We start from the raw sequence: 17,232 nt of genomic DNA on the forward strand, positions 1-17,232 counted from the left end.
GACAGTGAACCCTGAGGCTGCGAGTGTTTTCATTTACAATACTGGGCTTGAATACCTGTTTTTAATTCCCTGGAGATATTTGCCACAAAATTCTCCCTCAAGCACACAACCTCTTTCTACCTGGTTTCTTTATGCGTTTCGAGCTGGACTTGGAATGAATTGTCTGCAAGCTACCATCCGACAGTCTAACACACCATCTTAGGCTTTCCTCGGCTCTCCAGACTGCTGTCTTGCATCCCCAGAGATGGCTTGGGGATAAAAATGAGTTTAAAACCAAACTTTCTTTAGCTGGTCCAGCGGCTAAGTGCAGCTCTGATGCATCCGAGCACGGTGCCCTCTTCTCTCCCAGTACTGCTCTGTGCCCATGGAAAAGGGGGCGGAGGCGAGAGAGAAGAGGAAGAGGCGGAGGTCACTCGCGCGCCCCATCCCTCCCAGGCTGCCAGCGCAGCTAGGTGCAGAGGGATCCCAGGAGCCGCGCGCGCCCCGCAGTTTCCGCGCTAAGGGAACGAGTGCGCGGAGGGGACGAGCGGCTGGACCACAGCCGGCGCCCGATCAGGATCTCCGCGCTGGGATCGGTGGAACTTGAGGCAGCGGCGGCGCGGGGCGCCATGGCACACCGAGCGGCTCCGTCTTCTGCTCCTCAGAGAGCCCGGCTGGCGGCCTGGGATGACAAGGTACCATCCCTCCAGAGGCTGATCCCAATGCATCGGCTTCGCTTATCTAGACCCAGATTTAATCAACTCACCCCCTGAGACACCCAGCCACAGCTTCTGCTGGCTGAGCCTGACACTGAGTTTGGACCAGATTCCCCAAGCTAGGGAGACGCATAGAGAAAGAAGGGTACTCGAGCTAACCCATCCCCATTCTGAGCTGCTCTGCGGGGGATTGGGTAGAAAGGGTCTCAGAAGAGGGAAATCGGCACAGATTCCGCTTCTCGCCGTTGCGGGGTTCCCTGCGGGCGGCACTGCGAGTTCCTCACCCGGGCACGTCCTCACTCCCCGTGCCCGGGATGAGGGAGAAAACAGCCCTTTGGCGTTTGAGCAATTGCAGAAAGTTTCAGCGAGTTCGTTAGTTTGGAGGGAATGTTGCGAGGCCAGGCCGAAGGGCGGGGGGGATAGTAACGGGCGAAAGTCGAACTGTGAGTAAGACCTGGAGAAGGCGACCGTCCTGGGGGTAGCCTAGGCAGTTCCACTCGGGCTGGGCGCAGGAAAGGCTGGCTCCGGAATTCCCAGCCTCCGGGAAAGCTAGCTGCTCGGGAAACGCCAATCGAATTAGCTCAGAGAAGAGTGGCCGTGGCCTTGTGTATCCAGTGTCTGTGCCTCAGGCTTCAACCCCCTAGGGAAAGAGTGACAAGCAAATACTTCGCCTTGAATGTTGCTACTCTGAAGCTGTAACTGGACAGGATCTTGGCCGAGGTGCACAGTGAGCGTGGCCCGCCCCCTTCCTCATCGCGAATCAGAATTTCTACACAGGGGCAGCTAGACCAGAAAACCTTCCCAGAGACTCACCACTCTGCTTTTCATGGGTTCAACGTGTGTGTGGTTTGCTGTTATTTGATTTATGCTTAGAAACATATTCAGAAAATCTGCATTTAACATCAATGAACTTGCTGGTCCCCTTCCAAAGTTTGGAGATAGTTATGTCTGCCTGACAAGCAGGTCGTTTAACTGAGGAATAATCTGCAGTTTGGGGGCAAAGCCCACCAGAGGAAAGAGAAGACACTTTAAAAGGTCTCTCTCTCTTTTTTAATAGACTTAGGATTTAAAAAATCTTATTGGGTTTAAATCTAATCTTGGTAGCGATTTTGTAAAATTTGAAAATTTTAAGGTGTCAGTGACGTGTCAGGGGGACATTCAGGAGGAGGAGGAGGTGCTCATTTGCAGAGGGGCCACAGAAGTTAACCAAGGGGTCTCAATTTCAACAGCTTCTTCACCTTGAAAATGAAATGTGGAACCGCAGGCAGATATGAGCTGCTTTCAGTATGATGCAACCTTGCTTATGATAGGCCAGATAAAACCCATCCCACCACCGGGTGCTGGGGCACGTCAGTCATAAACGTCAGATGAGCAGTAATGCGGTGTTCATAATTCCTCTCCCTTTATCCTACAGATGTCTGGACTGCAATCCTGCACAGTTTTGAGAGGGAGATGACTTGAGTGGTTGGCTTTTATCTCCACAACAATGTCCATGAACAATTCCAAACAGCTAGTGTCTCCTGCAGCTGCGCTTCTTTCAAACACAACCTGCCAGACGGAAAACCGGCTTTCCGTATTTTTTTCAGTAATCTTCATGACAGTGGGAATCTTGTCAAACAGCCTTGCCATCGCCATTCTCATGAAGGCATATCAGAGATTTAGACAGAAGTCCAAGGCATCGTTTCTGCTTTTGGCCAGTGGCCTGGTAATCACTGATTTCTTTGGCCATCTCATCAATGGAGCCATAGCAGTATTTGTATATGCTTCTGATAAAGAATGGATCCGCTTTGACCAATCAAATGTCCTTTGCAGTATTTTTGGTATCTGCATGGTGTTTTCTGGTCTGTGCCCACTTCTTCTAGGCAGTGTGATGGCCATTGAGCGGTGTATTGGAGTCACAAAACCAATATTTCATTCTACGAAAATTACATCCAAACATGTGAAAATGATGTTAAGTGGTGTGTGCTTGTTTGCTGTTTTCATAGCTTTGCTGCCCATCCTTGGACATCGAGACTATAAAATTCAGGCGTCGAGGACCTGGTGTTTCTACAACACAGAAGACATCAAAGACTGGGAAGATAGATTTTATCTTCTACTTTTTTCTTTTCTGGGGCTCTTAGCCCTTGGTGTTTCATTGTTGTGCAATGCAATCACAGGAATTACACTTTTAAGAGTTAAATTTAAAAGTCAGCAGCACAGACAAGGCAGATCTCATCATTTGGAAATGGTAATCCAGCTCCTGGCGATAATGTGTGTCTCCTGTATTTGTTGGAGCCCATTTCTGGTAAGAGCCTGAAGTTTTGACTTCTGCTTTCTTGGGTTAATCCATGTTCAATTCAAGGTTATCTGGAAGTTCAGTCTTTTAAATGCTGAGAATGATCCCTACTCAAAATTTATTTCAGCACTCAGCTCTGGCTTAGAATTACATGACATATGACACATATGGTTACTTTCCCACAAGCCCTGAAGTGAAAGAAATGTGTTGCTAAACAATTCTAACCATAGTGTTAGCTTCCTGCAAAGCAGTGTAGTTCTAACAGAAGTTACATATTTTTAACATACTGAATATGATTATTTCTAAAATGTGAACAAAATGACCAACTATAAAACAACATTTGAACAGATTGCAGTAAGTCTTGATAGAAAGTCACATGAACTTTTAACTTGTAAACAGGGCATATTAGCTACTGGGTTCTCCAAAGCATGTAATGACCAGAACTGCAAAGGGTGGTGCTGAACTGAGATAGGTGGATAGTTCAGGTGTACTGCATGGATAGTTCAAGTGAAGAAATCAGTAATTCACTAACTCAGGAACAATGCCATTAGTCCAGGGAGAGGTATGTTTGGCAGGAAGGCCAGAGATTCCTCCCTTTTTGTTTCATTCATTTAACATTTTAATTTAACCAGCATCTGTATGTGATAGCCTGATAGTTTAATTTGGAAATGAAAGCTAAAGTGAAGCTGTTAGAAACAAACATAAATCATATCACTTTCCAGATAGAAGACAAAAATCATATTTATGATAGATAAGTATGACCTTAACTCCTTCTAATGTTTTGCTTTATAATGTAAGAAGTGACAACATGCCATGAAAGAAAACAAAAACAAAAACAAAAAAAACCCTTCTGTAGGGAGCAAGTGACAGCAAAGATTTTCTTTTTTCCCTCGTCTGTAACAATGGGGAAGTGGGAGGGCATCCAGAGATAGCAATCCAGGTGGGGTGGAAGTAAGACAAAGGTAGTGGTTGTACCTTACCTGGTAGAATGAAGGTGCTTGTTACTAATGCAGTTTTCCTAGGCTCCAAACAGGCTCATTGCCCAAGAATTGTTGCTAGTGCAGGTTTTTTGTTTGTTTGTTTGTTTGTTTGAGACGGAGGCTCGCTCTGTCACCCAGGCTGGAGTACAGTGGTGCGATCTCGGCTTATTGCAACCTCCGCCTCCCAGGTTCAAGCAATTCTCTTGCCTCAGCCTCCTGAGTAGCTGGGATTACAGGCGTGTGGCACCAAACCCGGCTAATTTTTGTATTTTTAGTAGAGACGGGTTTTCACCATGTTGGCCAGGCTAGTCTCAAACTCCTGACCTCGTAATCCTTCCGCCTCGGCCTCCCAAAGTGCTGGGATTACAGGCGTGAGTCGCCACGCCCGGCCCACTAGTGCAGTTCTAATTAACGATCCAGATGATTTTGATACACATAAAAGTTTGTGATAGCTGCTACTGCAGACAGATTCTATGATAGAGTTGAGTTTATTTTACAAAGGGAGTTCTACTTCTCTAATATTTTAAAAATTTCTATTCATATTGTTGCCTCACAACCTGAATTTGGCTTCTTGAATTGTTAAGTCATTCAAATATTTTTTGTGTTGTTCCTGAGTTGGCCAGGTCATAAGAGCTCACCCAAGGGGAGAGTGGGTCTATCAATGGCAAGTCAACCTTTGGAGACCTGATAATTGTCAACTGAGGAGGCCTTGGGTGAACCCAGTAAGAGTCTGATCTGTGATTAAAGTATAGTTGTATGAATTGAATAACAGAAACCGTTTCTAACAACACTGGAGCCACTTCATTGTTTATTTTTGAGGAGGTTAATGTATGTAACTCGACTAAAGAAATTTCCCGAGTGTAATGGTTTTTATTTTTCTGTAGTTAAGCTTTGAAGTAAAGTAGCTTTTAAAACTAAAAAGTGAGTCTGAGTGAGTTGAAATGAATTTGGGGTTGGTGAAAGAAATACAAAGAAAGTGAGAAAAGAAGTGGCTAAAAATGTTTAAATAAACTTTTACAATGAAGGTTGTGTCTCTGGAGAATACCTCAAAACAGTGAAATAGTGAAGTGTCAATAAATGAGAGACATAATCCGGACAACTGAGGTAATCACTTGTATTTTGTTTTTTGTTTATTCTGAGGCATCTTAAAAATTCTGTTGAGTTACTGGGTTTCTACTTTGAGGAATAGGAGTCATAGACTTACTCCTGCAAGATTATGGAAGGAAGCAAAATTTCATACTCTTGGTGTGGATATTTTGAATGTATGTTTTTCCCTAATTTCCATTCCTGGATTTTTGGTTTGGTTTGGAATAAATATTACAATTTAATTCCTATTTTAAACATATTTCCTATTGGAAACAAAGTTTCACTTTTACAGAACATTTTCTGAGGTCCACTTTCTCTTTAACTATGAATTATTGATATATCTGTGTCACCAACGTATCAATACTTTAAGCATGAAAATTATTTCTGTGTTAGATGGGTAGTAGATCCACCACAGGTATTACTTTATGGGCTGATATTTTGAGTTGTTTTAAGCATTCTTTGCATTCCTGGCTTCTTTTATGGAGAGTTGAGTCTTCATGAAAATTTCTGACTGAAAGATTTTGTCAGAACTTTGGTGGTCTGGACACAAGTGCCTTGGGGATTAAGTTAGGGTCCTCAGACAGGTATAAACAACCTTATAAAAATACAGGCTTAAGAATCTCAAAATAACATCCAGTACTAATACTTCAGTTGAATATTTTCTCTTTTTTTCTCTCACATATCTAGGAGGATTTTAATAGATATTAATTACTGAGCCATTATTTTCCTGCCCACCTTGTATTTTAAAAGCTTCTGATTTTTAAAAATACCCCTGAAACCAAGCTTTTAGATTCCCATAGTTGTGCTGTAATAGTGACAGCTTCCAGGTCAATGCCCTATTTCATACCATGTGCCTTTTCTCTCTGATTAACTGTGAATTGTTGGATTTGTATTTGAATGAACATCTGCACACACTCTTTGGCCAGTGTTCACAGTCATTTTCAAGTCTCAAACTGGAACGAAGGTAGAGGTACATGCACTAAAAGGAGGAAAGGAGTAAGGTGGAGATGATGGTGTTTGTGCTTGACAGGAACTACTGCATCAAAACTTGTCAATAGTGGCATAATTTCTAAAATCATTGAAATGTATAAATTGAAATTTATATTTAAGTTTTTGTCAAAGCTGATACTTTATTAATTTGTTGAGTTTTAATCAATACAAAGGTAAAATGATCATAATGTTTGAATTCTCTCTCATGTTAATAGACTCTATTTTACTTTTCTGAGTAGTTTTGGGTCTATAGAAAAATGAATAGAAAGTAGAGAGAATTTACAAATACTCCCTCCCCCTCCCCCACCCCATCAGCTTTATTATTAATATCTTGCTTTGTTGTGGCATATTTGTTAGAATCGATGAGCTGACATTGCTATATTATTATTAACTAAAGTTTGTAGTTTACATTAGGGCTATCTCTTTGTGTTGTACATTCTATGGGTTTTGAAAACATAGAATGACATGTGTCCACCATTACAGGATCATGCAGAATAAATGTTTTAAATTAAAACATTTAATGTGTTTTATTTTTCCAAAAGGGGAAAATGTGCTTTCCTCCTCCTAGTAATTGAAATGTAGAAATGTAGTACAAACATAACATTTGTTTAAAATATAATTACTTAAATTTTTACAATATCTGGGTTTTGTAGTTTTAAACACAGTTAATTCATTCACATTCATTTAATTGTAATGCTAACTGAAAAATACAGGAAACTACAACTGACGCTTATTATCTTACAGTTCCATTTAGCAACAAGTTAATTCTAAACATCTTTGAAAGTGAAACAGCAATTATAAAATTGTCTCGCGTTCTTCCTAGATGAATCACTTTTCCTTAACACATAAATATTGAACACATTCTCCTGATGTCTCTATTGTGAAGGAGAAAAAAGAGATTCACCAGCACTTTTGAGAAACATTTTCTCAATATTCTTTTGTTTCTACTTTTATATGGGTAACGATTCTTTTTAATGCTCCCCTTCTAGAATATGCAAGCCTAAAAGGAATTAATTATTAGTGCTATGCGTAGTTCACCTATTTGGCAGAACAATAAATACTTGTTGACTGGTTGACTGTAACTTAAGTAGTATGAATGTCAAAAGATTGGAAATGATTGACCAGTATATGGATTCTGAGTTTTGTAGGTTAACAGCCAAGCAGACTCTGAAACCAAATGGTAATTTTAATCTGTTCCCTAATCACCAACGGTAGACTTAGGACGCTATTAAACTTCAGCTGTCTTTTACTGGAAGGCCATATGTTTGTTTTACCTTCTCTTCAGGGATACAGAATAATTTTGAATGGGAAAGAGAAATATAAAGTATATGAAGAGCAAAGTGATTTCTTACATAGGTGAGTTTACCCAAGAAATGTGTTCTCTTGCAAATGTAGAATTGGAGCTTGATTTTCCTAAGGTTACTCTTATGCTAATATTTCTAGTCAACATAGTTAAACATTGTTTGGTCACTAAGGTGTTTGTTAGATATAGATCAAAGAACTGGGTGGCTAATTGAACTTTGACTGAAATTACTAAAGGTATTGGCTTCATAATGACCAAGTCTTAAAGGGCTAATGACAAATGATGGAGTAACATGACATCATAGCACATTTTGACTATTAGTGAAGATTATTTTCTTTGAAAGGCTGACCCCCATCATCATATTTAAGAATGGTGTAATGGAAATCTATGTATGTGTCTTGAGCACTTGCCTCAATACCCAAAGGATGGTGAGTGGATATATGTTTATATATTTTAAGTGAAGAGATAATGTGGAAAATTGCACATGTACAATATAAATGTGTACATATATATATGTAGTGTGTATATATATTGTTTATGTATTTAGGTACATACATAAAAGTGTAGATGTGTACATACATACCTGTTTGTGTATGTATATATGCAAATACACACATAAATGTTAAATTATTTCCCAAATTTAAAAAATTAACCCATTGCCATTGGATCAAATAAGAGGGATTCTAGTGGGTGGCATAGCTAATAGATACTGTGTTCACTGCTTGGGTGATATTAGAAGCCTAAACTTCAGTATCCTGCAATATACCCATGCAACAAACCTGTACATGTATCCCCTGACTCTAAAAACAAACAAACACACAAACAAACAAACAAACAAAATGGACTGTTCTATAGTCTTATATTAGATCTTGGAATATAGGTCTTTCAGGTTTACTCTTGGATTTCTGCTGATTTCAGAGGCAATATTTTCATAAATCATTTTAGCTAGTTTTCTTTGTGAAGCGTGAGTGTCCCTCTGTTTGGAACGTGGAAGCAGCAGTGAGGTTGTCTGGATACAGGACTTATGACAACTGGGTTCTACTTCTGGGAAGTTTGTAACTTAGACCTCAACAACTCAAAATTCATATCCAGCAGAAAAGACATATTTTAGAGATACGTTAATGTAGTGTAATCGTGGGAATTCAGGCAGCTTTCTCACATTGGGGAAGGCATGAAGTAAGTGCCATGGGGTGAATGACCAACCATAGCTAGCAGAGGAGCTGCCCTGGGAGATCAGGGAGCACATTCCTGTCCCTGAGCCTTGGTGTTCTCCTGCCTGGAACACTCTCCTCTTGACATTCACGTGACTCTCTCCCTCTTTCTTCTCTGTTCTCTCAAATATCCCCTCCTCTATCTGGGCTATCTTTAAAAAGTTCCTGTTCTCTTTTCCTCTCTTCCTTTCCTCTGCTTTATCTCCCTCATAGGACCTAGCAGGGTGTGATAACATAATACATATTTCTCTGTCTATCTGGTTGTTGCTGGGCTTTTGCCCCTAGCACGTAAGCTCCTGAGGGAGGGGCCTTGCTGATTGTTCTGTGTTCAGCTCCTAGACCAGTGCCTGGCATATAGTTGGGGTCAGTAAGAGTCTGCCAAATGAATCTTATGTAAAGGAGGGCCCAGTTGTTGACTACCTCATTTCCACTTTGAATTAGCTCTGCTGAGGAGGTCAGGACCTGGTTGATAGCCCCTGGGAATACCTGTAGTACTTTGAATTGTGATTTGAGCTGGAGAGGTCTGAGAGGGAGAAATTCTGTGTTCAGGAGTTCCCTAAGAATGTAAGTTGGAAGTAATGTCCTGGAGAATCTTGGACTTTCTGAAGTTTGAATCCAGAATGAGAATTTAGGAATTCTGTCAGCATCTAGAGGAATTTCATGGACATACTAGGCTTGGTATTTTATTTTATGATATTACAATGATTTGTTTATATGTTTTCTCTGTTATTCCAAATGGTGCTTGGTGGCTTTACTCTACATTATTAGTTTATGTTTTAATTTCAAATATAATGAGCCATTAATCGATGTTTATTGAATGAATAAAATAATCACTCAAGTATTGAATGGGAAGTATCAAAGGCAAAGGAAAATATTAGGTAACAGAAATTTGGATTAATTTATCCCCAGTCTTTAACACTGATGTTTTCTCTACAGCCACACATTTTTTTCATAATGTATTTTTTTTTTGGTATTTTATCTCTGAGAGAATCATGTTGGGGGACAAGAGGAGAACTTACTTTGAGTAAAGACCTCCAGATATTGCATGTTCCTTGTCATAAAATGAAAGCTCTGTGGTAAATATGGAAATTTGTCTGAAGCAGGCTTGCTTACATCATGTCTTTACCAGCTGATTAAATGAATGTATATGCTTTAACCTGTACTGCTATCAGACTAAAAGATTAGGTAGGTTTTATATTCACAGAGGATTAATTCTCAAAAAAATCCGACAGACCTTTTTAGTGGACACTGTGGTACTCCTCCCAGATCTTCCTTTTCTCAAGGGAATTTCCTTTAGCTGAAAGTAGCTGCTTTGTCCAAGATTGTGTCCCTGTCTCTTGGGGTCAGTCTATGTGCAGTGACTGGTGGATGTGGGGATACAGGGAACTTGTTCCTTTGCCTTGTTGGGATATTTCCGAAGGTCCATTCATGCTTCAGGGCTTGCTGAGGCGTCTGTTGAGGAGTTTCCTTGCAACTGCCTTGCAGCTCCTCTCCTACCCAATCCTGCTTCCTTCTCCACTTCACACACTCTCTGGAAAGCTTCCTGCGTGCAGATGTCTGCCCCAAAGTCTATTGCCTCCAGAGCCTACCTTAGGACAACCTTCCAGAAGTCTATTTGTTCATGTACTATCTGCATATAAAGTGCATTACACATTGGTTTACAGTGTTATTTGATAAATATATGAGCTATGTGTAGGCTATGTATATGGAATTGAGCTCATTTAAGTATAAAACTATCTCCCTCCATAAAAGTGTATGGTGTAAAATTGGCAAATGTCAATCCATTTTTAAAAGACATTGCTAGGATGAGAATTTACTCAAGAATTTGTTGCTTTGGATGAGCACAGTGATCTGGAATACTTTGTTATTTTAAACTTATTTACTCTTAGAAAAACATGACCTTTTTTTTTTAAGAAGAAAGACTTATAAAAATGCCCAAAGATATCATAGACATCGAGACGACACTTACAAAACATTACTTGAATGACTTAAGTGTAAACGAATCAGAAACATGTGTATTAAATTTATACCCTCAAGGATATAAAAATCTTCTGGCTTAAAGGGTTTTGGGCTTTTCATTAAGCTCCAAAACATTTGAAGAACAATTCAAGATGTTGATGTGTCCCAAAGCTCTTTGGGTTGCCAGTTTTAGCTTTATTTGCTTAAGACTTATCTTTATAGGAAGTATATAAATTGTATTCCATTTATATTTGTTTTGGAAGTCATGTATAGCCACCCCAATTTAACCTGATACATCAGTGTCATTTATCTGTACTCAGAGAGGACTTCATCCAACAGGATAAGTTTGTCTTGTGATACTTGTAAATATACCTTTCAGAGCTTGTGTAAACCTGTCTCCTGTCTGTCCTCTTTTCTGGGTGTAACACAGCTAATGCCATAGAAGAGTGAATACAATTGTGGTTTTACATAGGCAGGGAGGTGTTTTTTTCTCACTCCTCCTCAGCTATTGTATCCCAAATGAAATTCAGACTGTGGAATACTGAAATGGAGTGTGGCCGTGGTGTGATGGTGAAGGAGACAGAGACAATTGGATTATGTAAAATGAATTATTTTAGCTTTTTGTGCATAGTCCCAAGTCAAGTCTTCCTTTGAGAATAGTGTAGTTATTCAGAGTATAGGCGGGGAGCATGAATCTCAGCCTCACCACTTCTTAGCTATGACCTTAGAGTTACTCTAAGACAATTGTGCATATCCGTGATTATAATAATCGTAAACTCAGATGTACTATCAGATTAAATAATTTAATTTCCCTAAAGTCTCATCACAGAGTGATTGGCACATAGTAAATGTACAACAAAATCCAAAAATACTCAAAAAGTTTATTGGTATTAATGCTGCCCACCATCCCAATGAAAAATAATCATCTACGTTTAGTTCAGATATTTTCCATTTTCTCTTCCATTAAGAAGGATTGGTTGCAGTAGAAAGGAAGAGAGAAGAAGCTCATAGCTTCAGAAAACTTGAACATTTCCACTCCAAGTTTCAAATTATAGGTCCTTACTTCACTATCTCATCAGAAGTAAAGATGTTGCCTGCTAACCTCCTAAATATTCTGATAATTTGTGAGGTATTAATTATTAGATCAGAGTTGTGAGTGGTACCAGGGAGTAAAGGATAAAGATCTTTCCTCAAGGAACTTATAATTTATTTGAAGCAAAAGATGTAAGTTATTAGCCTTTGAAAAAGCAATATAGTGTAGTGTTTAAGAATCTGGGTTCAAGTCCTGTTTCTTTCACTTCCTGGCCATGTGTCTGTAGCCACTCTGTGCCTCTGTTTCCTCATAATTAAGTAGTAATAAAGCAAAATAAAGTAAGTAAAATAAAGTGAAATAAGTAGTAATAGTATCCACTTCATAGGGTGGTTGTGAGAATTAAATAATGTTTGTAAAGCACTTAAAATAGTGTTTGACATATAACAAGTACCATATGCTTCAGTTATTATACTATTCTCATTGTTGTTGCTGTTACTATTAAATAATAATGTTGCCCACTAATCATTTTGTCAATGAGATGATCAAAGACACGTTAAAATTATTAAATGAATAATGGGAATTATAAGAGGGATTTGTCACTTCTAATTTGGTGATCCATAAGTGGTTATTTGTTTATTGATTTGACAAACATTTATTGGGCATCTAACATATGTCAGGCACTGTTCTAGATACTAGAATAATAATCACTGTAATTTAACTGTTCATAATGTCTATGGCCTTAAACAATAGTACTTATAAGATAAAAAGAGAAGAGATATGCAGGAAACTGAAATATAACGATTCTATCTTTTGTTACAACAGAATATCAGGTATTTTATTATGAATGTTTGTGGATGAGATTATTCGTGACAGCTTATGAAAAGGAAAAAATTTCTCTGGGCTATCATTTACAAAGAAAAATTACTGGAAATAAATGTAATCGAAAGTCAATTAATGTAAGCTGTAAGAACCAATGAGAAAATAATGCATATAATTCCCAGAGATACGGAAGTGTGAAAATGAGAAGAGAAACTCTTTAGTATTTGGGCCAGGCTTTAACAGGATTAGAATACAGCAGGTTATAATAAGTTAATATTAAATTAAAATTTTTCAAGTAATAAAATATGAGTAGAAAAATTGTCAGATAATAAAAATTTAATAATTCAAATTAGTATTTTATACTATCTTTTGATAAGGAAACCGACTCAGGATGTAGAAGAGAAATAAATTTTGGGTGAAATGAAGCATTACAAAAGCTCCTAACACTTTCTAAGAATTCAAGGAAGTTTTAGAAATAAAGAAAAACAATTAAATCATTAAATTGCTGTGAATATGAGTAATAGGAAGGAAACAAAAAAAGTTCATTTACGTTTTCATTTACTCATGAATAATTTATTCATTGATTTATTCTTTCAGCAGACTTTGCTGAGGAAACTGGTGGGTGTCTCTCCAGGTGGAGGGTAAAGGATAGAGACAGAGACATGACCTGGGAAAATATTCCTGAGACAAATTCTAAGACTCATGCTTTCTATCTCCTTCATTTTGTCTGTGACCTTGCATTCTCTTCTCCAAACTCCACATGCTTCCTCTGCCTACTTTTTCCACTTTTACTATGGGGTAAATATAGCTATTTGTATTTTTCTGGCTTTGCTTTGGAGCAGGTCAGGGAGGTAATGGCTTAGTAATACTGAAGGAACCTCTGATCACAAAGGTGAATTAGTAAGTACTAAATACACAGCAAGAACATTGTTGTAGCAGCAGTGGCATCAATATTGGTTGTTATTGTTATTACATATTCCTTTATTTTGCTTCTTGCATTTATGACCGTGGCTGTGGACCAGAAAATAGAAGGAAAAATAAAAGTCACATGAGTGAAGGAGAAACAGAACGCAAGGGTGAAAACAAGGCAATTAGGGCAGCAGAAAGCTGGTGGTATGAGGGTGAAGAGAGGCACTCTCATGTTTTGGGAACTCTGTTGGAAAGGTGAGACCTCCTTTTATTTTCACAGACGTCTTCTCCTTTATTGAGGGATATTAAATTTCATGTATTATATTCCCCAAGCTATTTGAAAAAAATATAATATTTTCTTTAGCTATAAAATTTCATTGTAAAAAATTACAACAAACTACATATTAAGTTTTTAAAAAAAATCTTCCAAATCCCACTACCCAGAAATAACTACTGTTAGTATTCTGGGTGCATCTATCTTTTTACCTAGCTAATGGGGAAAATACATTATTTTAATTCTTTGATTAATAGAGTAGTTAAACATTTTTTATTACAGTTGTTGGGCATTATCCCTTTTGTGAATGTACAGGTATTTGTATTTTTCTAAATGATTTGCAAGAACTGTTTGGATAGCAAAGAACAGATAATTCTGATATATAAAAATACTTATAAAATAAATTATTATAAAAGCAGTTGTTTGTCCAGGTTTATTGTTTGCCTTTTAATTCAGTATTTGAGTTTACAAAAGTAGTGAATTAATAATTTCTTTTGTGGTTACTGATTGTTTCATGTTTAAAAAATGCTTTTCTCAGGCTGAGATGATATCAGTATTTACCTCTTTTTTTCTTCTAGCAATTTTCCCCATTCATCATTTGTATTTATGTTTTTAATACATTTATGACTTATTTTGGTTTGATTTACAAGTTAATGATCTGAATTTTCTATTGAATGGTTAGCCAGTTGTCCTCAAATTATTTATTGAATGCTCTTCCTGCAACCTGTTTTAAATTCCTACCTTTATTATATATAACATTCTAACATGTGCTTGGATATTTTTGGATCCTTTATCTTATCCTATTGATCTTTATGTACAATTAGTATTAGCTTTATGTACAATTATCATCTCTGTATTTTATTTAGACTTGAGTACAATTGATCAATTTTAATATAGAGTGTTTCTTATCTTGATCACAATCTATCTTATTATCAAAGTCGTGTTTTGAATAAAAATTTTGTAACTTTCCTCATAATAGTGAGGCAAATTAGTTGCATTAGTTTTATAGCACTTTTATTCTAACTTTTTTTTTTTTTTTTTTTGAGATGGAGTGTTGCTCTTGTTGTCCAGGCTGGAGTGCAGTGACGTGACCTTGGCTCACTGCAACCTCCACTTCCCAGGTTCAAGTGATTCTCCTGCCTCAGCCTCCTGAGTAGCTGGGATTACAGGCACCCACCACCACACCTGGCTAATTTTTGTATTTTTAGTAGAGATGAGGTTTCACCACGTTGGCAAGGCTGGTCTCAAACTCCTGACCTCAGGTGATCCACCCACCTCGGCCTCCCAAAGTGCTGGGATTACAGGCATGAGCCACCACGCCTGGCCTATTCTAACTTTTAAAAATTTTTGTTTCTACTGTAAATATAATCATTACTTTCTTTTACATATACAAGTATATAAGAAAGCACTGATCTTGATACATTTGTTATTTATTGTGGGAAAATTTACATAATATAACATTTACCATTTTAACCATTTTAAAGTGTACAATTCCTGACACTTGGTACATTCACAATGTTGTGCAGCTGTCACCACTATCTTGTACAGAACATTTTTTTTATCCCCAAAAGAAAACCCTATATCCATCAGGAGTCACTCCCCACACCCCAAAGTCCGTGACAACCACTAATTTCTCTCTTTCTGGATTTGTTTATTATGGTTATTTTGCATAAACGGAATCTTACAATATGTCACCTTTTGTGTCTGGCTTCTTTCGGTTAGCATAAGGTTTTCAAGGTTCATCTACATCTACACTGAGCAAGGTCAGTACATCTTTCCTTTTTGTAGCTGACTAAATTCATTTGCATCAATATACTGCATTTTGTTTATCTTTTCAGAAGTCAATTAACATTTGGGCTATTTCCATCTTTTGGCTATTGTGAATAATAATGCTACTATGAACATTTGTGTACAAGTTTTTGAACACCTGTTTACAATTCTTTTGGGTATATGACTAGGAGTGGAATTGTTGGTAATATAGTAATTCTGTTTAACTTCTTGAGAAACCACCAAACCTTTTCACAGCAGCTGCACCATTTTCCATTCCTAACAGCAACGTGCGAGTGTCCCAATTATTCCACAGTTTTTGCCAACACTTTTTATTTTCTCTTTTTATTTATATTTATATTTTATTATAATGGCTTTAGTGGATGTCATGGTAACTCATTGTAGTTTGAGTTACATTTTCTTAATGTTGAGCATCTTTTAATGTGCTTGTTGGCTATTTGTATATATTTTTGGAAAAAATCTTTTATTTTTATTTTTGTGTTTAAAAAAGTTATATTGGTCTGTAATTTCCCTGCTTTATTTTATTCTTTTACTTTTAATATTAGAATTATTCCAGTTTTAAAAACCAGTAGGGAAATTCTTATTTTTCCAGGTCTAGAATAATTTAAGTAATTTGGCTGTTAGTTGCTTTATGATGATTTAACATTATTTCAGCATTTTTTTGACAGTTTTAGTTTTATTCCTAGTGATTGGTTTGTTTGATTTTTTTACCTTTTTCTATTTTAATAAGTAAATTCTCAGTAAAAATTTGCTACTAAATGTATACTCTCAAGGATACTGAGTATAGTCTAATAAAATGTAATAACCTAATAAATATAATAGCATATTTGAATAAGATATAATATCTTAATATTCTAAGAATATAGAGTTCTTTTTGGCTAATTCCAGCATTTCTGTATCCTGGAGTCAGTCTCTGTTGGTTCTATTTTCTTTTGAGAGCAAGTCACAGTTTCCTGTTTCTTTGTTTATTGAACATTATTGAATTGTATCTTGGGCATTGTGAATGTTATGTTAGGGAGACTCCGCATTCTATTGTATTCCTCTGAAGAGTGTTAATATTTCTGTTTTAACAGGAAATTGACTTGACCAGACTCAAACTGCAAACAGCAGCTCAAATACCATTTAAATTATTTTATCCTTAACTAGGTTACATGGAATCTACCCTAAACATGCATGATTCAAAGGTCAGCCCAAGATTTGGTCAGAATTTATATATAATATTTGGAGCTTCCCCTCTCTGGCTCTTTTGTTTCCAGGAGAACTCTGTCCTCTGATTCTTCAGGCTGGAAAGACTGTGGGTTTAGTATCAGAGTTTAGCTACTCTGCACGGCACAGACTGGGGTGTGTTTTCAGACTGGAAACTATGGAATAGGAAACTCATCCTTTTTCCCAGAGAATAATTGATTATTCTCAAGAATTTGCCTGCTTTTGGCTATTCTCCAGTGTCTTCAGGTAGTGTGTTTGTTTTTGTTTTTGGCACAGAGTTTATAGCTGTTGAGTGAAGCTTGGTTCCATAGGAGCTTATTTGGCCATACTGGAATGAAATACCACATTTAGATTTTAGATTTGAATTGTTATTTTTTAGAAAAATTAATGCCTCTCCATTTTCTGAAATAATTTTTGATATTTTTGGAAGTTCCATAGGGATATAGTCTATGTCTACTTTGCTAATCATTGTATTTGCAGAGCCTAATACAGGACATGTCACACAGTGAGTATTCAAGAAAATTTGTAAAATGTTGAATAAAATAAGTTTCATAACCATACTAAAAACAGTTGAAAAGTTATGTAGAATTTGATTGACATTTTGTTTTATTGGCTTTGTTACTGCTGCAATTTCTTTTTGATCATATTGTCTCCATTCTAATGTTTGGTATTTTGATTGATTTCTAGATTGCTGAAGTATGAAA

At 37.3% G+C, this 17,232-nt stretch overlaps 1 protein-coding gene across 5 annotated transcripts in view, besides 1 other annotated feature; it reads left to right on the top strand.

The window, feature by feature from the left end:
• The window catches only part of PTGFR (prostaglandin F receptor), a 49,728-nt gene continuing 32,907 nt past the window's right edge, over positions 412 to 17,232 (top strand). The window contains exons 1-4 of one of the 5 annotated variants that reach the window (XM_017001873.1): positions 412 to 674; positions 2,110 to 2,979; positions 7,312 to 7,382; positions 13,374 to 13,952. In XM_017001873.1, coding sequence (XP_016857362.1) covers positions 2,182 to 2,979; positions 7,312 to 7,382; positions 13,374 to 13,380 — 876 coding nt within the window. In that variant the 5' untranslated portion in view covers positions 412 to 674; positions 2,110 to 2,181 and the 3' untranslated portion in view covers positions 13,381 to 13,952. Of the gene's footprint in view, positions 1,533 to 2,109; positions 2,980 to 7,311; positions 7,387 to 13,373; positions 13,953 to 17,232 lie in introns of those variants that run through there. The other 4 variants (NM_001039585.2, XM_047426101.1, XM_047426085.1 and 1 more) reach the window with 4 other exon arrangements.
• Positions 878 to 1,410: an enhancer, noted in NCBI's record as "H3K4me1 hESC enhancer chr1:78957125-78957657 (GRCh37/hg19 assembly coordinates)". NCBI's record gives its function as "activates a minimal SCP1, AML or CMV promoter by ChIP-STARR-seq in primed H9 embryonic stem cells {active_cell/tissue: H9 hESC(primed)}" and the evidence as "EXISTENCE:reporter gene assay evidence [ECO:0000049][PMID:30033119]".

This window comes from Homo sapiens, chromosome 1, assembly GCF_000001405.40.
Source record: "Homo sapiens chromosome 1, GRCh38.p14 Primary Assembly".
Lineage (NCBI taxonomy): Eukaryota > Metazoa > Chordata > Mammalia > Primates > Hominidae > Homo > Homo sapiens.